Source organism: Homo sapiens, chromosome 4 (genome assembly GCF_000001405.40).
Source record: "Homo sapiens chromosome 4, GRCh38.p14 Primary Assembly".
Classification (NCBI taxonomy): domain Eukaryota; kingdom Metazoa; phylum Chordata; class Mammalia; order Primates; family Hominidae; genus Homo; species Homo sapiens.
In genome coordinates, this window is record NC_000004.12 from 159,225,832 (window position 1) to 159,250,037 (window position 24,206).

Consider the following 24,206-nt stretch of genomic DNA (forward strand, 5'->3'; position numbering starts at 1 on the left):
TGTCTTATTTTTGAGTTGTGTAAGCATTCTTTATGTGTTTTGGATACAATTATTTTGTTGGCTATGTTTTGCAGAAATTTCCTCCTAATCTAACATGTGCCTTAAAAAAAATAAAAACTTTGTCTTTTTGAAAGTTAAGTCTTTTAATCTTGATGAAGTCCATGTTGTCAACCTCCTTTTTTATAATTTGTACTTTTAGTGTCCTTGTTAAGAAATCTTTCTTTAACCTGATGTCATAAAGGTTTCCTCATGTTTTTCTTCTAGAAAGGTAATAGTTTTACTTCCTCCATTTAGGTCTGACATCTATTTTGATTTAATTTTTGTGTGTGGTATGAGGTAAAGGGTTGAGGTTTACATTTCTTCCTACAGATATTCAGTTGTTCTAGAAGAGTTTATTGAAAAAAGTATCTTCAATCCATCAAATTGCCTTGGCATGTTTGTTTAAAATCAATTAATTGTAAAAATAAATTAACTATAAAATATTTGTTTAGATCTGTCTCTGGAATCTGTCTTGTGTTCCTTTGCTTTACATGTCAGTTCTTCCACCAATACCACATTTGTGTAACTTTATAGTCACTTTTGAAGTCATGTAGCATAAATCCCTACTTTGTTCTTGATTGTTTTTATTCTGTCCTTGCCTTTTTATATAAATTTTAAACCAGGTTATCAGTGCCAAAAAAATGTTTGTTAGGATTTGGTTGGAATTGCACTGAGTCTATATATCAACTTGGGAAAGATTACTATCTTAACAATATTGAGCTTTCCAAACCGCGAACTCTTTCTCCATTTAAGTTTTCTAGAATTTCCCTTTGCAAGGTTAAGTTCCCTTTGGTAGTTTTTAGTGTACAGATCATACACATTCTTCATTGTATTTATTCCTCAGTATTTTATGTTTTGATTATAAGTAATAGGTTTTTACCACTTCAGTCTATAAGGGAGAGTCTCTGAAACAGAGGTTAAGCAATATTGCCAGTGTTAGTTATTGGTAGCATTAGAAACAGTCTTTCACTTACAGAACAAGTATGGGCTCATGAGAAAAGTCCACATTTAATTCAGATGAATTAAATCAATTGCCATTTTATTACTTGATATCTTTGTAAAAGATTATATATGTGTACGAGTTTATGCTTTTCCTTTCTTGCACATGTGTTCTTTTAACTTCTAAGAATTATGAATACAGTATTTTTCAAGTGACCTGAATTTTTGTTGAGGTTCAGTCTTACAAAGAAATACTTACCATTTCAACTTCTCTTGTGGTATGTGCCAAATTTTGGGCAGGTTAGTGGCTAGGTTTTGATGCCATTAACATAGAGCTTTAAAGAATATCAGATGTTTAGTTCTGATTCTTGAAATCTTGTTTGATTCTTGAGATCAGTTCAGGTTCTTACTTGCTTAGGGCCAATCTGAATCATTCATTATATTCATCTGCCATTTTTCTCATTAATATGTTACATAGATCTGTTTGGTTATTTCTTAATGTAATTGTTTATTTTGCTTCTTGAATGAATTTTATAAAAAATAAGGTCATTTGAAGATAAGATATTAGAGCTAAGCTTCCTTGTCTATACAACTCATACACGGCCAGCTTTGCACAATGAAATGGTGAACGTTTAACAAAAGTATATTGGATGGGCATGTGTCTACATGCTGAAAAGAAAAGCTGTTATGGACCATAACTTTTATACAAACTGATCAGCTGCCATCTGTGTACAAAGCACTGTGATCAGCAGAGACCTGTTTGTGCCACTGTGTAGACTGATAGCAGCAGATTAATTTAGCTGAGCTGTTCTCTAGCAGTTTGGTCACGAGGACATAGACACTACCAAAGTGTAGTCATCACACCACTGATCTTTGCTGGTTTAGATTGTGGCAAGAGAGAAAAACTGCTTGCTCTCTTCACCCCAATACAGCTGAGGTAAGAGCCACCTTTTTTTTCTCTTGAAGGGAAAAATGACAGCAAAAGCAGCCTCTTTTACCTTTTCCCATGCTGTTTTGATTTAAATTTATTCTAGTATTTTCCATGGTAATCCCTCAGGCCAGGTATACAGTTCAGCATCTCTTTGGCGGAGAGCAACTAGTTTGTAGTACAGCTTGGGTAAATTTTAATAACAAAATTGTATTGCCAGCACAAAGCATTTGACCTTGAAGACTCAGAGGAGAGCAGACATTGCAGATTTCCCTACTTGCCCTCGACTTACAAGAGAGTAGATAATGAATTAATAGAAATTGATAAAGAGTGTCTGTCAGGCAGCCGCTGAGGTCATGAGGCTGGTATGCGAAAAGAGTGCCCATACAACATGCGAAACACATAGCTGCAGCCAGGAGAGGTGGGTGGGTCATTGAAGCAGGAAATTAGCCGTCAGATGGAATGTTGGCCTCTGTACAAGCTACGCCGCGCGCGTGGACTCACTGGGAGAAAACACGGGGAAATGGGGAGTGCTCAGTGCTGCAGAGAAAAGAGCTCCTATAGAAGGTGACAGCACTGTTGGTGTTAGTGGTTCTTCAAAGATACTGAAGACAGTGCAGGTTAGAATTTTTTTTAAAGGAATTAAAATGTTAGTAGCTTAAGTATCGAATGTTTAGTGCTTGTTAAATAGACAACAAACTACTGAGGAATGAACGGGGGAATAGCACAGCTATAAGGCCTTCGTATTGTATAATAATTTTTATCTTGTACTCTATTTTTATAAGCAGAGATGAAATGTTGAGATTCACTGTGCAGAGGAGCAAACTTCTGTTAATTTTATGTGGGGTGATGATTGTTAGAATGTTTGTAAGTGAGCCTTGAAGGAAATTTAGAGATATATAGTGTGTATTCAGTTTTCCCAATACTTCTGAAATAGAAGCCGGTTAAAGTCCATGCTTTAGAAGCAGTTCGCAATTTACACACACACATGTAAATTATATATGTACTTGGTGTATGTGTGTGTGTGATTTTTAACATAGCTGTTACTTTTTTGCTTCTTAAACTAATGAGTCAACTTATTAAGAAAAGATTACATGTATTTTATGGAAAGTCAATCCACTTTCCTTTTATACTTATATTAAAATTTATTCTTATATATGTTACTAATTTTTGAGAATGGAATTGATGGCATCAGCAGTTACTTGTTAGCTTTTCCTCCCTAATTTAATTGCCACTCTGCTGTCTGAAGACAATGTTATGTGATTGTTTTTTTGTAAGTCCTAAACAAATCAATTGGTTTTGATTTAGGAACATCAGTCCAGTCAGTTACTTAGATTTTTTTAAGGAAGAAAATAAAATGTAGTAACTGCCTATCATTTTCTGGAAACAGGGGTGTGAAAAAATTGATGTATTGGAGTATTATGTTTTTAATCATTTTGTAAATTAGGATTGCCCACCAGTATATCTGCTTGACTCCTGTGTATTCCCTTGCTGGGTGTAGGCTGACTTGAATAAGTTTACATTCCGATACTGAGAATTGCATTCCACTGGGTAGTTCTGACGTACAAGAAGAATGTGGAGGCCCATACAAAGGGCAAGATTAGGGACACTGATAGAAGAGGCTTCTATGCTCTGTGACTGCCTTTCGTGGAAAGCTCACACTGGCAGAAAGTGCTCTTGACCCAACTTGGGAGAGGAGAATGTGGTCACAGAAACTTCGGACAATTTGGCCTTACAACACCTGCAGCACCCTGTCTGGTGTTTCATTGCCTATGGGTATTTACGAAAACTAGGTAAGACTTCACATTCCCAAACTTTCATGCGGTGTGGGAGTCTTGAAGGAAAGTTTTGTTTTCTCTATATTATATGGAAGACTACTTAGTAATTGTTTGTCTTCATATTTTTGGTATTACAGAGTCATACCATTTGCACCTGTAGAAATATTTAACTTAGTTTCAATTTTGCTAACAATTTTAATTCTTAATTTTTAAATTGTTTTGTATAAAAACTTCAGCAAAAAATTTAATGAGAATGAAAGTCTGAATTGTTATACTGTTTTTAGAGCAGTTGTTCCTTAGTCATACTGAGGGAGTACTAGCATTTAGGAGTAATCTGTTTCATATGCTGCAAGTGGTCTTTTCAATAATCATTTACTGGTGGGCTTAATTTTTTTTCTTTTTTGATATGGCAGAGAACTCAAAGATTGACCAGAAGTGAACCTGCATCACTTCTAGTTGTCATCTTGTGGTTGTTTAATATCAGATTTTAAGGACATGCTGAAATTACGTTGAGATTGAATTGTTGAAAGGCAAGGTGTACAGCGTATTTATACAGAACAATTTAGAAGGGTTTAAATTAGACCATAGTGATCACATTTTCATTCTGTGTAGAAGGAGAAGACTATCAGCATTCTTAAAACACATATACCATACTTCTCCCTTCCACCACCACCTTTTCCTACTTTATGGCCTCTAACTAGACACCTCTTATCAAACGCTGGTGTCTGTTTAGAAAGAACTAACAGGTTTTTAAAATATTCAGGCTAACTCTCATTGATAACTGTTAACCTACATCTTTCTTGTTTCTGAAAGACAGCTATTCATATGTGTGTGTTAATATGTATATGTTAATAGCATGTCTTATATACAAATACACATATACACACAAAGACTGAAACTACTAGAAGACCAGAAGTAACTTTTGAAAGATATATAATTCAAAGTAGAAAAGGTAAGCTATATATCTTTAAAAATTAAGGAGTCTGAATTTTAAAATACTTGTTTATCTTGGTAAGTGGTATTATGAGTGCCATTTCAAAGAAGCAGATGTCCTACTAGTTGAAGTTCTGGCAGTAGCTCCCTGAAGAGATTTGGTCTTTATAGGTTTGACATTCAGATCTTTGCGGGGGTAACCCTAAAGCTCTTTATGGTCATTTGTAATTTTGCTGAATTTGAATTGCCTTCTGAATTAGAAATGCTGATTTGTGTTTTTCACTCAACTAGCTAGTGAGTGAGCCTGGTCATTGAGAATTCACCTCTCAATGAAACTCACTTCTCAACTTGTCATTGGGTTATAGCTGTTTGTGTACTTGTCATCCATGGAATATAAACTACTTAAGAAGAGGGACTATATTTAGTGAGTTTTTCTGTAAACGCTGTATTGATTACTGAGTTTATATTGGTAATATTGATTCTGTTATGTGTTCAGTGAACATTTGGAAGAGGAATAAATAGCACAATAATATATATGTCAGAAATAATATTATGTAGTCATGCACTGTGTAATAATGTTTTAATCAGTAATGGACCACATATACAGTGGTCATCCCAGAAGATTATAATGTGGTATTTTTACTGTAACTTTTCTATGTTTAGATGTTTAGATACACATATACCATTGTGTTATAATTGCCTACAATATTCAGTACGGTAACATTCTTTATGGGTTTGTAGCCTAGGAGCAATAGGCTGTATCATCTAGCCTAGGTTTATAGTAGGCTATACCATCTTGGTTTGTGTAAGTATATTCTGTGATGGTCACACAACAGTAAAATCGCCAAACAACATATTTCCCAGAACATATCTCCATTCTTAAGCAATGCATGACTGTATGTTAATATATATTATTACTCACACATATTATTTTGTTATGTGTTATATGTTATGTATATAATATATTCTCACAAATACATTATATGTCAAATTTAAACAAAAGTTTCTCACATGAATCATATATCCGTGTGAGAAATAATATATGTTTTGTAGAGAGAGAAAAAAGAAAGAACCTCAAATATATGACCATGGATAAAGAAAAAATGAGATTAATGTTAGGGGAAAGAAAAATGTTCATATAATTGACTCTTCTAAACTTTGATTTAAAATAAATATTAAGTTGTATCCTTAATCCAAAAATTTCAAATACAGAATGCTCCAAAACTTGAAATTTTTTGAGCACTGACATGGTGCTCAAAGGAAATGCTCATTGGAGCATTTTGGATTTCATATTTCCAGAGTAGGGATGCTCCACATATATGTGCAAATATTCCCAAATCCAAAATAATCCAAAATCAAAGCACTTCTGATGCTAAGCATTTTGGATAATGGATACTCGACCTGTCTTTCAGTCATATTTGTTTACCTTCTGCCCATCTCTAACTAGGTCTTTCACCCAATGTCTATCACTTCATTGTTAAGTTATCATATAAAAGAGATGGGTTCCCAGTTTGTCTGTCATTAAACATAACTCTTCCTTGGTTCCTAAGATTTGCTGTTTGTTAAAATAGAGATTCTACTTTTTCTTATTCAAGTCCCAGATTTTTGCCAGTAAACCCAGATATCCTGTCTATAGTTTCTTTTCTAAGCTTTTTTTAATTGTAGTAAAAATTATGTAAAATATGTCATTTTAACTAGTTTTAAATGTATGGTTACATTTAAGTGTGTGTTACAGTGGCATTAATTACATTCACACTGTTGTGCCACTAGTGGCGCTACCTCTTTCTAAAGCTTTTCTGTAACTCCAGATGGAAACCCCGAAACCATTACGCTTTCCAAACTGCTTTCTCCAACTCTTGGCAACCTTGAATCGACTTTCTGTCTCTATGAATTTGCCTATTCTAGATATTTCATGTAAGTGGAATCATATGATATTTGTACTTTTGTGGCTGGTTTGTTGTCTTTAGTGGATGTTTTCAAGGTTCATCCATGTTGTAGCAGGTATCAGAACTTCATTCCTTTATATGGCTGAATAATATTCCTTTGTGTGTGTATGCCACAGCTTGTTTATCCATTCTTCCGTTGTTGGACACTTGGGTTGTTTCCATATTTTGGCTACTGTGAATAATGTTGCAGTGAACATTGGTGTACAAATATCTGTTTGAGTCCCTGCTCTCAGTTCTTTTTGGTATTTATCTAGGGCTAGAATTGCTGTGTCATATGTTAATTCTATGTTTAGATTTTTGAGAAATTGCCAAACTGTCTTCCACAGTGGCTGTATCATTTTACATGCCCACCAGCAATGCACAGGGTTCCAAGTCCTCCACATTATTTTTTTTCTTTCTTTTTGCTTTCTTGAAAAAGGGAAATAATAAAAAATTGTAGCCATCCTGGTATCTCATTTGCATGTGGCTTCAGGTGTGAAATGGTATCTTATTGTGGTTTTGATTTGCTTTTCTCTAATGACTCAAGATGCTGAGAATCTTTTCATGTGCATATTGGCTCTTTGTGTATCTTCTCTGGAGAAATGCCTATGTAAATCCTTTGTCAAGTTTACATTGGGTTATCTTTTTGTTGTTTAAGACTTTTTTATATATTTTGAATATTGAATCTTTATCAGATATGTGATTTACAAATACTTTCTCTTATTCTGCAGGTTGCCTTTTCAGTTAATTGATAAGGCCCTTCGATGCAGAGTTTTTAATTTTGATGAAATTTAGTTTATCTATGTTTATTCTCCTGCTCCTCATGCTTTTATTTTCCAGAGCTAAAAATCTATTGCCAACTCCAAGGTCATGAGGATTTATTCCTGTGCTTTTACTAATAGTTTACTTTTGGCTCTTACATTTAGCTTGTTGATTCATTTTGAGTTAATTTTTGTGTATCTTGTGCGGTAGGGGTCCAATTTCATTCTTTTTCATGTGAAATCCAGTAATCCCACCACCATTTGTTGAAGACTCTGTTCTTCTCTCATTGAACAGATATGGCATACTTGTCAAAAATCAACTGGTCAATCATTTGCAGCAACCTGGATGAGACTGGAGACTATTATTTTAAGTGAAGTATCTCAGGAATGGAAAACCAAACATCGTATGTTCTCACTCATAAGTGGGAGCTAATCTGTGAGGATACAGAGGCATAATAATGACACAATGGACTTTGGGGACTCGGGGGAAGTGTGAGAAGGGGGTGAGGGATAAAAGACTACAAATTGTGTGCAGCGTATACTGCTTGGATGATGGGGGCACCAAAATCTCACAAATCACTAAAGAACTTATGTAACCAAGTGCCACCTATTCCCCAATAACCTATGGAAATAAAAAATTTAAAAATATATATATAAGGAAAAAAAGTCCTTTTAATTTAACACACACAAAAAATCAATTGACCATTGATGTATGAGTTTATTCCTGGACTCCCAATTCTATCCTTTTGGCCTGAGTACCACACTATTTTGATTACTGTAGCTTTGTAGTAAGTTTTGAAATTGGGAAGCGTGAGTCCTCATTGTTCTTTTTCAAGATTGTCTTGGCAAATTAGGGCCCCCTGAATTTCCATATGAATTTTAGGACCAGCTTTTTCATTTCTGTAAAAAAGACTGGTCTAATTTTGATAGAGGGTATGTTGAATCTGTAGATCACCTTATGTAGTTTATTATAAGACTTACTAAAAAAAAAAACTGCTGTATTTGATAGTGTTGAGTCCATTTCTGACAGTGGCACCAAGGAACAGGATGTAATCACATTTGGATCAGAATGCAGTCACATGGTTTAGAACAATCCTTACCTACTTCTGATTTTTTGATGAAGGATCATAGGTGTACATTTAAGTTACCCAAGTTCTTCCTTAATTGTATTATTTCTAAGTTTTTTAAAAATGATTATTTTAGAAACTTAAGGGATACTGGCTTTCAGCTGGTGTAATAGGACTTAATGAAATATTATTATTTTTTGAGACGGAATCTTGCTCTGTCACCCAGGCTGGAGTGTAGTGGAACGATCTCGTCTCACCGCAACCTCTGCCTTCCGGGTTCAGGTGATTATTCTGCCTCAGCCTCTCGAGTAGCTGGGACCTCAGGCACATGCCACCATGCCCGGCTAATTTTTTTTTTTTTTTTTTTTTTTTGAGACAGAGTCTCGCTCTGTCGCCCAGGCTGGAATGCAGTGGTGTGATCTCGGCTCACTGCAAGCTCCACCTCCCAGGTTCATGCCGTTTATTGGCCAGTCTGGTCTCAAACTCCTGACCTCAGGTGATCTGCCTGCCTCTGCCTCCCAAAGTGGGGGGATTATAGGCATGAGCCACTGCTCCCAGCCTATTATTATTATTTTTGAGACTGAGTCTTGCTCTGTTACCCAGGCTGGAGTGCAGTGGTGCAATCTCGACTCACTGTGACCTCCGTCTCCTGAGTTCAAGCGATTCTCCTACCTCAGCCTCCTGAGTAGTTAGGATTACAGGTGCCTGCCATCATGCCTGGCTAACTTTTGTATTTTTAGTAGAGACAGGCTTTCACCATGTTGGCTAGGCTGGTCTCGAACTCCTAACCTCAAGTGTTCTGCCCACCTCGGCCTTCCAAAGTGCTGGAATTACAGACATGAGCCACCGTGCCCAGCCTATGAAAAATTATCTTAATCTATACATCTGGTCTTTTGGAAAGCCCTTTGGATTCCCTGAATTTTTTGTGAGAAACTTTTCAGTTCTGTGTTTTTCCCCTTAGAAACTCTTCCAGGGTAATACCCTTTTATAGATTTGATTTTCTATAAGGGCATGCATTGTAATTATTGTTTTTGATTCTTTCCTTGTGTGTCCATCATTTCAAAGTTTGTCTTTGTTTATAATTTTACTTGTTGTGTAAGCATCTTGCTGTGCTAATGCATTCAAAGACTTCGTTTTTATTAATAACTTTTAACTGAAAGCTGAGAACCTGTTGTTGAGTATAATGTTAAATGCTCTGTGCATTTGATCACTTTTTCAGTGTAGAGCATTTCATTGTGCACACTGGATCCTCTACGGCTTGCCTGCACTCACACTCTTTATAAAATGTCTTGTACTTTGTTCTTACTGTTCTGGTTTTCTGTTTCACTCTCTCAAAGTGTATTTGTTATTTGCAATCCTGAAGATTTTGCACCATTTTTTTCCACTAAGTAATCTAAAATATTTAAAAGGATTGTTCTTTATATTGTCTGTGAGGTACTTTATCTCCTATACATCTTTATCTGTTGCCTTTAAGTCTGTCCTTATTTTCCAGAGCTGAATTTTTTCAGTTTATTTGTGTAGAACTTCGCCAAAGATTTTTGAAAATGTAGTAAATAATCATATTTACTTGCTTTTGTTTATGTATTTACTGTTTCAAAGAATCAGAGAGCAGAAGCAAAAGTAACTTGTGGACTTAATTTCTAGCTAACATTTTTTTTTCCATTGCTTTGTCTGTTTCTTCCAACCTTATAGCTTCTGGTTTGTGAGCTAAGAGCACATCATCTCTGTGAGAGAGCTCAGAGGCTTTGTCACTGATCAGGCCTAGCGTGTGCACTCATGACCTACTCTTTGGCTCCTTTGAGGCTGCTCTTCCTTTCTGCATTCCTGGCTGTGTTTGAAAAAATAGATTGTTGAGTAAATGAAGTAACATATTCTCCCTTGCTAATGTGTGTTCTGTGCACATTGCTTTTTCCATTCAGCTTATTCAATAAATATATCTGATGGAGAGTCTGCAGTTTCTCCTGTTCACATCTTTGTGACGGTTTATGGAACTCGAGTCTTTTTATGGTTGAAAAAGTTTCATCAGGCTGTAGTGCAACTGACTCTCTGAAAAACACTTATGGAAATGTTTTTGTGTAGCACATTTTAGGAAATGTAAACTTTTCATCCCCAAAGTAATAGTGTGCTAGTGCAACTTGAAGTGTGACTTCCTAGCCATGAAGTTCTGTTGAACGAATGACTAATTGGTAAGAGGATTTACGCCTTAAATCCTGGAGTGGTGAAGATGGTACTAGATTTATATATAAAATAAATAACAGTTATATAGTTTATTTATGTGAACATTAACATCTTTTGCTGCTAAAATTTGTAAACAATTCTAGCATATGTTTTTGTATCAAGTATTATATGAACAGTGTATACATTACAAACATTTATGATTTTTTACTATGTTACATTTAAAAACGCATAAACATTAGACCACTATATTTATAAACTTGTCCAAGTCTGTAACCTGCCACATATTTTACTAACACATTGAGATTATTTATTTGCAGTGTATAATTATAAGCTTCATTTTAAAAAATTAAATTGCAAATAGGTAGATTCAGAAACTCAAACTTTTGTGTATATTGAAGAGTTATGGAATTTCAGTTGTATTTAACTGTAAGCTAAAAGAAATGTGTAAAAATTCAGGTCATTTAAATTGCATGAGAAGTAACATGAAGATAGATTTATTATGTTGTTCCTGGCAAATGTTTTCACTTAAAAGTACTCTAATGTGTATGTTTGTGTGGGCATATATGTGTGAATGTATATATGAATATCAAAAAATTTTTTTTCAAATATGTTAAATATGATGCTGGTTTTGATTTTCATGGAAACTTTTTCTTCTTTTCAAGACAGGGTTTTACTCTGTTGCCCAGGCTAGAGTGCAGTGGCACATTCTTGGCTCACTGCAACCTCTGCCTCCCATGCTCAAGTGATCCTCCCATCTCAACTTCCTGAGTAGCTGGGACTACAGGCTTGTACCACCATGCCTGGCTAATTTTTGTATTTTTAGTAGAGACGGGGTTTCACCATGTTGCCCAAGCTGGTCTCGAACTCCTGGGCTCAAGTGATCAGCCCTCCTCAGGCTTCCAAAATGCTGGGATTACAAGCAGGTGCCATCGCGCGTGGCCGGAAATGATTTTGGAAAAGGACTTAATTATCTTTAACAATCAGATAATTATTATTAAGGAAAAGGACTTAAGTGATGGCCTAGTCTAACCTGATAACCTGTAAACAAATAAAATTTATCATATGATGTGGTCAAGATAGTTTGCTAGAGATTGCAGATGATAGAAGGAGAATGTTGGCTTTTCTGTTTTCTTCCTCTTACGTGACTTGGCTCCTAATACTTGAAATATGTGTATTACTATGACATAAAGAGGATTATAAATAGAACAAGAATTTCCATAGGAGTCCCTCACAGTGCCTAATTAACTTGGAAAAAAATTGTTCAATGAAATAGTTTTTTGGTAGAATTTTAAAGCATTTTTTTCTTAAAGATAAGTTTATTAAATATGATTACCAAAAATTTTAATATTAGGCTCACATCTGTAATCCCAGAACTTTGGGAGGCAGAGGAGGGAAGATTGATTGTGGCCCTAAGTTCAAGACCAACCTGGGCAACATAGCTAGACTTTGTCTCTACAAAAATTAAAAAAAAAAAAAAAAAAAAAAAAAAAAAGCCAGGTATGGTGGTACGCACCTGTAGTCCCAGCTACTTGGGAGTCTGAGGCAGGAGGGTTGCTTGAGTTCAGGAGTTCAAGGCTGCAGTGAGCTGTGATTGTGCCACTGTACTGTGGCTTGGGTGACAGAGTGAGACCTTGTCTCTTAAAAAAAAAAAAATTAACTGGAAGGAAAGATTTTTGTGAATGAGTGAGGTGTTATATTAACAAAAAGAGCTTCACCCAAATTCTCTGTTCTTAATTCTAGTTTGCATATCCCTATGTCAGAAACAATACATCTTCACCATTCTTAACGTGGGAATTCACCACAGATAAGGCAAAGGTGCTATGTCTGTGTTCACTCGTGCAGAGTTCTCAGGAGGAATGAGCTTTTAGTAGTACATCAACTGAAATAACTTTACCATAGAAATAAAGTCTTAAGTTGAGTATCTTTTTCTTAAAACATTTAGAATAAGTTGATTTGAAAATTTAGGAAAATAAACACACTTTTTAGGTGAAAAAAAAGTTTAACCTAAGCAAGTTAAGTTATGAAGAGAATTACATGTACATGCATTTTATACTTCTTTGGGACATTTCTATAGTTTGCCACTGAGACATTTCCCATCCCTACTGGAATATTCTCAAAGTTCACCTGAGGATGATTTAAAATAACCTAACAGAAAACTCACTCATGCTAATAATTCTCCTTTACTTACATTATTAATTTGAAAATATTATGTTAGAATTTTCCAGAAAAATCTATGACTGAAACTTAAGAATTTGAATGCTTTCTTGTCATTCTGTGTAAATTATTAAAGATAATTCACTTTCTCCAATGTGTACTTTTTGTAATTGTTTTTAATTTTTATTTATCAGGAAGTTTGGCTTATGTTCACAAATCATACTACTTAAATCTCTGAGGTTCTCCTCATTGATTTTTTTTTTCTTTCTTTCTAGTTTTGGCAAGCGTTCTGCAGGAAGTTTTAGGCGTGGCTGTGAATGCATTGTTTTAGAGCCTTCTGAAATGATTGTGGTAAGAGTATTTCTGTGAGGACTATTTTTCCCCTAAAAAATTGTATGAAATAAAGGCATTTTTATAAACTGCTTATAATATTAGATTTTTGTTGAATAGAAAATATTGTATATTTTCTATAACAGATATATTTATTTCACAACTTTTTATTAATATGAATTTGAGTTCATAATCATATTTTATTATTTACAGGATTCAATTAAATGCCAAAAAAATTTAAAAAGTACAAGTAGCTAAGTGTTTGGTTTTTGTACTTTGTAATTCAATCTATAATAATGCCATTTAATTGAAATTTGGGGAGAATCTCTTGATTGCAGGATTTTAGCTCTCCAAGTGTTGATTGGAATGAGTGACTTACTTTAAATCAATCACTAGGTTTGCTGGTGTGAGAACAATTTTGGAATCTAAACATGCCTCCATTGTGAGCAATCGTGAGGAATAACCAAATGGAACTTGTGTTCACTGTTAATTCATTCATTAGAGTTTCTAAGATGTTTTAAATGAGGAATTATTTTTTAAACAACACTATTTTAAAAAACACAAGAAAATCACTTGAATTTTTTCAAGTTATTAAAAGGAAATTTGGGGATTATTATGCTGGTTAAACACTCTGTTGACATCTTTTCCCTCTTTTTAATGTAATTTTGTGACAAAAATTTATAAACAGAGATTATACATAGAACATATTGTTAAAATAGATATTAGCAACATACTTTGAAGCTTAAAAACCAAACCTGTCATACTTTTTACTTACTGTATAAGAATGATTTTAAGATAGGATAATATGTACCCTTTAAAAAATTTAGTAACAAAAATAAGATGAGGTGGAAGGGGAGTTTCCCAGCCTAGACATTCAGTTGATATTCTTACTGTCTCCATCCAGCACCCTAGCTGGGAAGGAAGATCTTGTAAAGTAAATGATGTCTAAATAAAGATGATGATGGAAACTTTTATTCACATTTAGTAAAGTATTTAGTAAACAATTCTAGGTCTCTTTTCAGAGAAGATGTAGGGTTTTTCCCTATGATGTAGGAGAGGAATTCTGTCAGAAATGAGAACTTCCTCATCAAAGCTAGCGAACTTTTTGTAAAATTTACTAAAATATTTGGTAAAGTTTTACAAAACGTACTCAAGTGAGAAAGTAGCATAGTAATGGTAAGGATTTAGGATTGGGAAGAATGTAGGCAGATATATAGCACTTTCCAACAGTAGATAGTCTTAGATATTTCCTTGAGATTTTGCCCTCTGTTAATGCTACTTTTAGATTTCTCTGGAGGATTTTTAGTCTTTAAAACTGAGTATTTTATACTTGCTGATACTACACAAACTACTAGGTTTGCTGGTGTGAGAACAGTTTTGTAACCTAGACATGCCTCCATTATGAGAAGTCACATGAGGAATAACCTAATGTAACTTTTATTCCCTGTTCATTCATCAGCATTTCTACTTTTTTTTTTTTTTTTTTTGGAGACGGAGTCTTGTCGTGTTGTCTAGCTTGAAGTGCAGTGGCGCGATCTCAGCTCACTGCAACCTCCACCTCCTGGGTTCAAGCAATTCTCCTGCCTCAGCCTCCCGGGTAGCTGGGATTACAGGCACGTGCCACCACACCCAGCTACTTTTTTGTATCTTTAGCAGAGATGGGGTTTCACCATGTTGGCCAGGCTGGTCTTGAACTCCTGACCTCGTGATCCACCCGCCTCGGCCTCCCAAAGTGCTGGGATTACAGGCGTGAGCAACTGTGCCTGGCCTAAAATTTTTTTAAATGAGGAATTACTTTTAAACAACACTATTTATAAAAAAAGAAACCGAAGTCATGGAATGAAAGTAGAAGGAGAAACCCTTGCGTAACCTACCAAAGCCATTCTGTTAGCACTGTTTTTGAGTCATTCAGGATTTGGAAGTTTTTACAGATTTCCATCAGGGTTTTTTTTTTTTTTTTTTTCTTTTTTCTACGTTGCTTAAGACAGTGTGGCAGTTGCTTTCATAATGTGTGGTAATGTATCCTGTGAGATCTTTCACTAATAAATCAGTACAAAGACTGCTGAAAATATCCTTCCCTTTGAAACTACAGGAAATTCAAGAGTTACCCATATTGTCCTAAGTGGAACTGAAAATGCCTCCTCATAAAAGAAATGTTACTCAAAACCAGTTAGTTCCAGAGAAGTTCAGAGACACTTGAAGTTTGTCTAGATAGTTTTCTACAGATGTCTTTGCAAGATGATTGAATATGGGTTATCTGTAAGTTTCTTTCTGTATCTAATATTAATAGGAAATGTTGTGTTTGGAGAAATGAAATTTTGGGGGGTTTTATTTCAGGTGGACTATATGGATGAAAATGAAGAATATTTTCAGCGGCAAGCTTCCCATAGACAGTCTCGAAGGAGATTTAGAAAAATCAACCAGAAAGGTGAAAGACAAACAATTATTGACACTGTGGATCCTTATCCCATGGGCAAACCTCCTTTGCCTAGAGGCTATCACACGGTAAGTTATACAAGTATAATATTTTTATTTATTTCTAGTTTTTTGTTGGGGTTTTGTGAAAAGATGTTTAAGTTTTCCATTTTTGACAAATCTTTTCAATTATATATATATACACACACATTAAGTATACTTAAATATTTATTTTTATTTGTTATATTAATAAATATAAAAATAAATATATAATATGTATATATTATTTAAACATTTATTATAGAAAGAGTAGATTTTTCTGGGAAACATGATATGATTAGTTTTTAAAAGACATTGAAATAACATGTCAACAGACTTTGCTAGCTCCTTTATTTCTTAAGTTGTTCTCTGAAGATCAGCTTTGTGATAAGCACATGTAATTGTAATTGGAATATTTTAAGTTGTTTTACCTTAATCTAACATTTTAGCGCCCTCCTGTGCACTCCACCCTTCACTCCCAACCCAAATGACTGCTGTCATCCCTGTTTTTTATTTTAAAAGTAGATATGTAAAAATTACATTATTTTTCATAGCTTTTTATACCTTTATGAGAATATCTCTGAGATTTATTTTTTAATGCAGTGAAGGAGGAATAATTTGAAATAATGCTTTTTAAAATCTCAATGTAAAGATGCTTAGAAATATTTCTAATAGGTTCAAAGATCCTCTTAAAGGCAGGCAGACATAACCCAGTTCATTGTCATTTATTTCATAAATATTGATAAATAAACTGCTTTTTATGTTTGAGGAAACCAAGACATAGATAATGAGTGCTTTGTTCAAGATCTCAATAAAGTCACTTTAAAGCCTTTTTTTTCTTATTCCTTTGTTTTTTCAAGAGCAAAGTCGCTTAGATTCCTGGATATGTCATAATAATGTGAAAGATCATTTATGCATATAATACCATTAAATGAGTGGTTATTTTATGTATAATTAATTTAAAATAAAAATATAAAAAATAAAAATAGATAATTAACAACTATTTTACATTCCCCAGTTGTTTTCCTTTACCTTTTTTTTCTTTCTTCCTGCAAATAAGTATAAATACAAAATGCATGGGAAAAATGTACACAGACTTAAAATTATTTACTCAATTTTTAGTAAGTTTAAGTGATATATCTTATACCCACACTTCATATATTCTATTTCTCAGAGAGCCCTTTTTATTTAAATATTTAATGTGGTTTTGACCACTAGCAACCTGACTACTCCTCTTGCTACCCATGAAGTATTTTAGTTTAACATGGATTTCATAGTTGAATCATTTTATTGAGCTCATTTGGAAAGGACTGCTTTTTCCTCATCACAAAGACATCTTTGTCTGTTGGAGAGACTAGTATTAAAAAAACCATGAAAGGTTTTTTTGTTACCATTGTCCATAAAAAAGGTAATGTTTTTAGGGTTGATGTAGCATTATGGAAGAAGGAAATATGTATTAAAAATAGTTATACATATTAATAGTACAACACAGATAATATTTTAGCCTAGCATAAATATTGCTAATTTTTTTCTGCTTTGGAATTGTTTTTCCAGATTAGTTTTCAGACTAAAATAGTCAGTGGGAGTATGGATTATTTAAAATGTAGCGTTAAAGTTGGTTTGTTTGTTCTTATAGTCATATTTGTCACACTTTAGTTGGGTGGGCCATTTAATAACTGTTCTCTCCCCTCACCCCCAGCGTGATTCCCCCTTTATGGAAAGCTTCATTCAGTTTCCTTACACGGCTCCCTTTTCATTATTTGTTTTAAAATATGTATTTCTTTTATTGTTACAAGTTTTTTTTTTTTAAGTGGATTTTTAAGAGTGTCTTACCTAGCCAGCAGATACTTTTAGGGAAAATTCAATAGTAGGATGAAAAAATTGGCTTGATTACTAATGGATCATATACTGGTTTACTAATGTGTGACATGTGGTATTAATTTTACTAAATGAGTTAAGATTGGCAACAACATGGTCATAAGGATTGCATCCTTTTTTGGGGTGTAAAAATAACATTATAATTTATTATTTATTTTACATAAATACATAATTTTAATGTAGGAAGATTGCAAAATTTTGTTTTGTGTGTATGATACCACATAGTAAAAAGAATTAAATAGAAATTATTCTTTATTACCCCTACGCCATATTTACTTATTCTTAACAGAAATAGTTCTCTTTGAAAGAAATTGGCTAATAGTGAAGGACTGAGGGTGAAAAGTTTATTTAAAAGAATTGCATGATCAACTTCACAGGTGATTTAAAGTCATTGCAAGAGCATTTCAAGTGCATGGCTAAATAACATGGGAAGCATTATACATATAGCTGATTCTATATGATCATTCTTAACTTAATTTTAACATTATCTTCATTTTGGCAGATGTAATATAGCATGTCTGATAATGTTCATCTTTTCCTTTCCTCCTTTATGGCACTCATTTCATTTTGGCTCAAAGGAATGCACTAAATCTCAGGTATTGTAATTTGTGTGTGGTCTTCTGACACTAACCTAAGTTTACGTGTGAATTTGCACTGTTACTAATGAATTTATAATATTCATATGTTTTGCTTCGTCTTGTCCTTCTGTATTTTGCCCTAATTTACTTTGAAATTATCAGTGGTTTGGGTGGTAGAATAGGCTGCTTGATCTGTACAGACCTGGGGATGGATTGTCCATGTTGAAGAAAGAACTCAAGTGCAAGCTACTTATTTTTAAAAATGAATGGAGCACTTAAAAAAATGAATGGAACACTGTCCTTCACTAACCTGCTTTGCAAATAAAAAAATGAAGAGAGAAAGGCAGGCAGACATAAAGGATTTTTTTTCCTTTTTATGTGAAAGCTTATGGGAAATTCATTAGAAATTTACATTTTAAATACTACAGATGAAAACTTTAAAGTTCAGGAATCTCAATGGGAGAACATTTTGGGAGGCCACTGGTAAAATTTCAGTCAGATTTTTTTTTAAAAGGTTGGTCAAAAAGGAAACAAAGTTTAAAATCTCTTGTATTTTCTTATTTGCACTTTATTTTTAACAAGGTTTCTTGCTTTTATTTCATTCTACATTTTAATTGAGGTCTGTAATAATCTCCTTGCTCACTTCTTTGATGCCAGTACATGACTAAGTACTATACTAAGTACTAAAGTACATTACTAAAGTACTGTACTAAGTACTAAAATCTATGATTTTCATTATGAGTTCTTTGAAGATCTAGATTACATTTGGGGTTATCCGGGAATTTTGAGTCAAGGAAGAAAAACTGATTTATCCTTGAAAACTAATTGGTTAAGTAACTAGTAGCATTTTATGCTTGTGTTTTATTGTTGTACAGGGAAAAGATCATGAATAATTTATTCACATTGGGGAAATCTATCATTGATATATCTTTGGCTATTAGAGTAACTTTGCCTAAAAGTATGAATTTTATGTATAATTTTTCGAATTAAAATGAGACAGTTCCTTTATGTTCTATACAAGAGAGTACGTATTAGAATGCCACAGGTGTCATGATTGCTATATTGGTTTTTGGAAGCACTACTAATTTTTAAATGATGTGGTAAATCTAAAACATTTTTATGTAATTTTAAAATTTTAAGTTCACTAAAATAATTTTAAAATTGTACAGAGTTTTATGTACCTCAGTGTTTTGAGCTTTTCTCTGAAAAGAGTACACTTAAAATATATATAACATGATATTTTAAAAGATAAATCAATATGTAATTGATCTTCGTCTTTTTTTAGCATAAATTACCAGTCTAATTCCAACTTAGAACTTGGAATTGAATTTAAAATGCGCACTGAGTTATGATGTATACTTTAATGTACACTTTTTAAAATTAGATGCATTGCAGTAGTTTAAAGTGGATTATAATGATTTTCTTTAGAAACATGAATACTCATAGTCCATGTACTGTGTTTTCAGGACATTTTTCAAGGCAAGTGTATGAGGTTTGCAGAGAGAATAGCATTTTAAAATGCAGTGAGAAAGGAAGATTGGAGATGGCTTTCATTAGCATTTTCTTACATTTTGATGAGTAGAGATTGAGGCCGTATTTCAAATTGCTAAAAAATAAGATTTAGCATGAATTTTCAGTCTTAGAGTGAGTAGATTATAGAGACAGGTAATAAGGTTCCTGGCAGAGGCTGGAAGATTTGGGGTCTGTCACTAAAGAACTATCTTGGGACTTTGGATGGTAATAGTTTACCTTGTCTCCAGGTTCAGAATAGGGCAGGTGAAGAAAAGCTATGTTTATTTTACCCATAGTTTCAAGCCTTCTCTGTATTGATCAGTAATTTATTCTAGAAGTTTGTGTGGGTAGGAAAATCTGAATTCCATATTAAAAATGGAGAGGAGAGGAAGGACCATTTTAACTTTTACCTTATTGGAGTGACGTGGGAAGCTGGCACATTCCTCTTCCATCATCTTCTATTCCTCCCCTGATTTTAATGAGGAAAAAACCCAGCTCTTCCATTTTCCTAGTTTGGAAAGAGGAAAACTGTACAGAGAAATATTAGACTAAAGATTGAAGAAAACTTGGCCAAATTGTAGAGGTTATGTGTCCCAACTGACATTTCATAATTTCCATCCTTCCTAGGCTGGTGGCAATGTTAAAATGCTCTCCATGCTTTAAAATTCTGGTTGACCCCACACCCCCACTCCTACTTACCCAAAAATATGGCTCCACTTTATACAAATCTGAATCAGGAGACTTTGAACACAGTGTAAATAAAACATACTTATAAAGTTTCAGTCAGTACAAAAATTTTAAAATGATGAAAACTTATTGGTCGTGTAAAAGGATATCTCCCACACATTTTATTAGTAGTCCTTTTCTACAGTGTGAATATACACTGCAGAGTACTGTTTCATAAAGATACATTGAATTTTCCAGTAGATGAGGCTTAATGTTCTTAGAGATAACATGCAAAAGTAATGGAAAATACTACATAAGATTAAATTAATATAATGTAAATTGAATGCCATATAATATTAAACTTTATGGAAATAATTTCTGTTGTAGTCAGTGATAATACAATATTTTTAAAATGTGGCAGCAATGTAATAAGATTGATTCATGTATGAGGCTTATGAAAATCAGTCCCATTTTAAAACTAAGGTTATTATTCTGTATAATAATATAAGGCAAATTCTATTTCTTACAATGGGTGTATAAGATATAACCATTCCTAGGATATACCTTAAATATCTCTGAAGTCAGTATTTCTCCTGAGATAGAGTTAAGTTGGTTTCTCCTTCAGTTAAAGACTCCTTGGTAGTTTTGGTTAGTTTCAAAAGTCATTCAGCTATTGAAACAATGAAAACATTACAGCATTTAGTTTCCGTGATTGTGCACATTTATTTGACATTTAGGCTTTCTGACTTGAGTTATGTTCTTAAATAAGAAGTAGGCAATATTTTTACTCATATCATGTCTTTGCTTTATCATTTATTATTTATTCAGTTTTTTACTGAGGTTTCTTTAGGTTTGACTCAGTATTTGCTACTTAAGAGGGTATGTTTTGGGTAATACATCAATAACTTGTATAGCTAGTAAATTTCCTAGAATATTTAAGGACTTCAAATTTTACCTTCAGTTTATGTGATATCACACCTGGCTATAATTTATATGATATTTAAAAATCTGTTTATGTATATATATGAGAAATTATTCAAATACAGGGGAAATTTCTTAGTTATCTTAACATTTTTTATCCTTTTAAAACTTAAATTTATCAAACATTTGTTTGCTTAATTGTACCTGAAGGCTTGTCTTCAATATTACTATCAGTGTCTCTCTGTGAATTATAATGGGATGGAGTTTCAGGAAATTTGTGTATTTTATTTCTTGTATCATAGAAAAGCTCAATATTTTCATTTATATATTTTTGGTCATTTAACAAATATTCATTGAGTGCCCACCATGTTTCAGGTCTGTCCCAGGCTCTAGAGATATAAAAGTCAACAACACAGGAGAATCTGCCTCCTTTGCCCTTACAATCTCACAGGGAATACAGATAAATAAATGGTACACACCCAGGGCCCCTACAGGAGTCGGGGATGGTTTCATGAACCACCTGAATATCTTGGCTCAAAGAAAGATATTTTGTACAGAAAGAATCTTATTTGTTCAAAGACTTAGAGGTTGAGTGGTTATAGGGTTTTTGAAAGCCATGTTGAAAGTTGAACTTTTTCATGACTGTAAGGAACAACAAAGAGACTGAAGCAGAGGTGTGACATACTGAGATTTACATTTAAATAAACTACTCTGGCTCCAAGATGGAATAAATTTTGGGGATAGGGATGGTAAAGTGGGACCACAAGACCTGGTTAAGTAATGGAAATGGAAGTGGTGGCTAGAACATGGCAACTGGAGTAAGAATGAAAGGTGAGGGATTTAGGTGGTATTCAGGGAGAAGAAAGTAGAAATAATTTGTTTCTTTTTTTTTTTTTTTTTTTTTTTTTGAGGCAGAATTTCACTCTTGTTGCACAGGCTGGAGTGCAATGGTGCAATCTGGCTCACCGCAACTTCTGCCTCCTGGGTTCCAGCGATTCTCCTGCCTCAGCCTCCCGAGTAGCTGGGATTACAGGTGTGCACCACCAGGCCTGGCTAATTTTGTATTTTTAGTAGAGACAAGGTTTCTCCATATCCGTCAGGCTGGTCGCGAACTCCCAACCTCAATTGATCCACCCGCCTTGGCCTCCTAAAGTGCTGGGATTACAGGCGTGAGCCACTGCGCCCGGCCGAAATAATTTATGTTTCAAAATAAAACTTTAAATAGCTCTAATTCATTAATTTCTGATGATTTGCTTTGTGGGCAGTACTTTCTATTCCAATAGTGTTTAATGACCATATTGTATATGAATATAAATACATGACTGAGAGTTTGAGGTAGATTAGTTTCAAGCAGATTATTCTTTAATCCAGGAAAGCTAAATAGAAATGTGAAAACTGGATTAGGTAATAAAGAATGGAAAAGAGGATGAAGAGAGAGTGTTAGAGAGTGATATACATACAAATAAAACCTGCCACAAATTTTACTAAAATTTATTGTTTGGATGCCTGATGCTTTATGTTTTCATCAGAAGAGTCTTAGGAGAGTGGTGTCAAAAGTATCCTTTGCTTTTCACGCCCATTATCGGCAGGTTTACTAGTTCCTCTTTACCCTAAATTATGTTGCATTTTAACATCCTGCAGAAAGCTCCCTGTGGAAAAGTCTCTGAACAATGGGTGGATGTAACAATACTGTGCTGTGTGTGCTGCAATTTCTGGCAAAATGCAGCATGTTAAAGCTGCTATAGTGGTCTCAACCTCCTTGCTTTAGGGGGACTAACTCTCTTTCTTGCAGTTACAATCAGGTATTTACGTTGATTTAATTTATACGGATTGGGAAATTGCACTATAGCATATGTACAGAAATTGAAATGTAAATCAAGAAATAGTTTAGAAAATAAAATGATTTCTCATGCTATTAACAGCATGCATTGTAAATTCATGCAAGGCAGTTAAGAATGGTATGCAGTGTGCTGTTTACCCAAGTTTCAGCTTCTGTTGAAGGATGTCTATTTTTATATATTACATCATCTCTGCTACAGAACTCCGGTGTCCACTGGGATTTACTGTTCTTTCATTCCATTTTGAAAGAAAGCTTGTATTGATGTCATAATTGGACCCATCTTTTGGTTGCACTTGGAAATTGAAAGTAATAAGGGTGTTGTGTAGCAAGTCATGCAATATTTCAAGCGATTTATTTGTCGAAAAGATCACTGTCACTTTGTCTTGCCTCTCCTTGTGAATACTGGTGGCTCTCTGTGCTTGTACATGTTTTAAATATACTTGGCTAAAATTTAGCTTTTAATTGCAACAGCGAAGATGCTTTTCATCTTCGACTGTTTCATTTCTTATCATGTGATTTTTTTTTTTGTCATGAGATTTTGCAGAGCTACATGCTGATTTTAAAAAAAGTCTCTTTTTTTTTTTTTTTTTGAAAAATCTACTTTGATATTCAGACCTATTTCCTGCCAGTGCTGAATTGATCTTTTTTACAGTTATCTGTTGTAAGTTGTCTGTTTTCACTGTTTGAAATATCAGGTGATTGGAAATACTCTCTTTTGGTTTTGAATGCAGTTTTAAAACATTATTAACCTGAAATGCCTCTCTGTTAGCTGGAAGATATTGCTGACTTCTGGACAAAACTCTAGCATTTTATGGAATATATAGATGCTAGGTTTTAAATCACTTGTGAAAGAAAATATTTTAATTATTTATATTAAGATAATTAAAAATACCTAATAATGCTATACGTATTTATCTATATAAAATTTCCCCCTTATTTTCTCTGAAAAATTTAGTCAGTATTATCTGTACTATTTTAATAGTAAACTTTTTTTTTAAAAACTGATCAGGGAAAAACCTCCACTTCTTTTTCCCAGTAACAGCTTATTTGAGATATAATTCACATGCCATACAATTCACCTATTTAAAATACATAAGTTAATTGTTTTTCTTTTTTGGTTAAAGAAACCCAGATACCATTAATGTTACCATCTTAACATTTTTATGATACAGCTCAGTAGGGTTAAGTATATTAGTAGTAAACTGGACTGACTGAGCATATCCATTTCACAGATGTACTGCCTAGCATCCTTTGTGGTAATTAAAATTACTCGTATTGGGAAATATCAAGGCAAAAAAGTAAAATAAAATTACACATAGGCTAAA

General features: G+C 33.8%; 1 protein-coding gene across 4 annotated transcripts in view; it reads left to right on the forward strand.

Annotated features, from left to right (window-relative positions):
• RAPGEF2 (Rap guanine nucleotide exchange factor 2) overlaps positions 1-24,206 on the forward strand; it is a 257,095-nt gene that overhangs the window by 122,753 nt on the left and 110,136 nt on the right. For 2 of the 4 annotated variants that reach the window (NM_001351724.5, NM_001394067.2), the window contains exons 5-7: positions 12,978-13,053; positions 15,370-15,537; positions 17,943-17,960. In NM_001351724.5, coding sequence (NP_001338653.1) covers positions 12,978-13,053; positions 15,370-15,537; positions 17,943-17,960 — 262 coding nt within the window. Of the gene's footprint in view, positions 1-1,846; positions 1,916-3,546; positions 3,700-12,977; positions 13,054-15,369; positions 15,538-17,942; positions 17,961-24,206 lie in introns of those variants that run through there. The other 2 variants (NM_001351726.3, NM_001351725.2) reach the window with 2 other exon arrangements.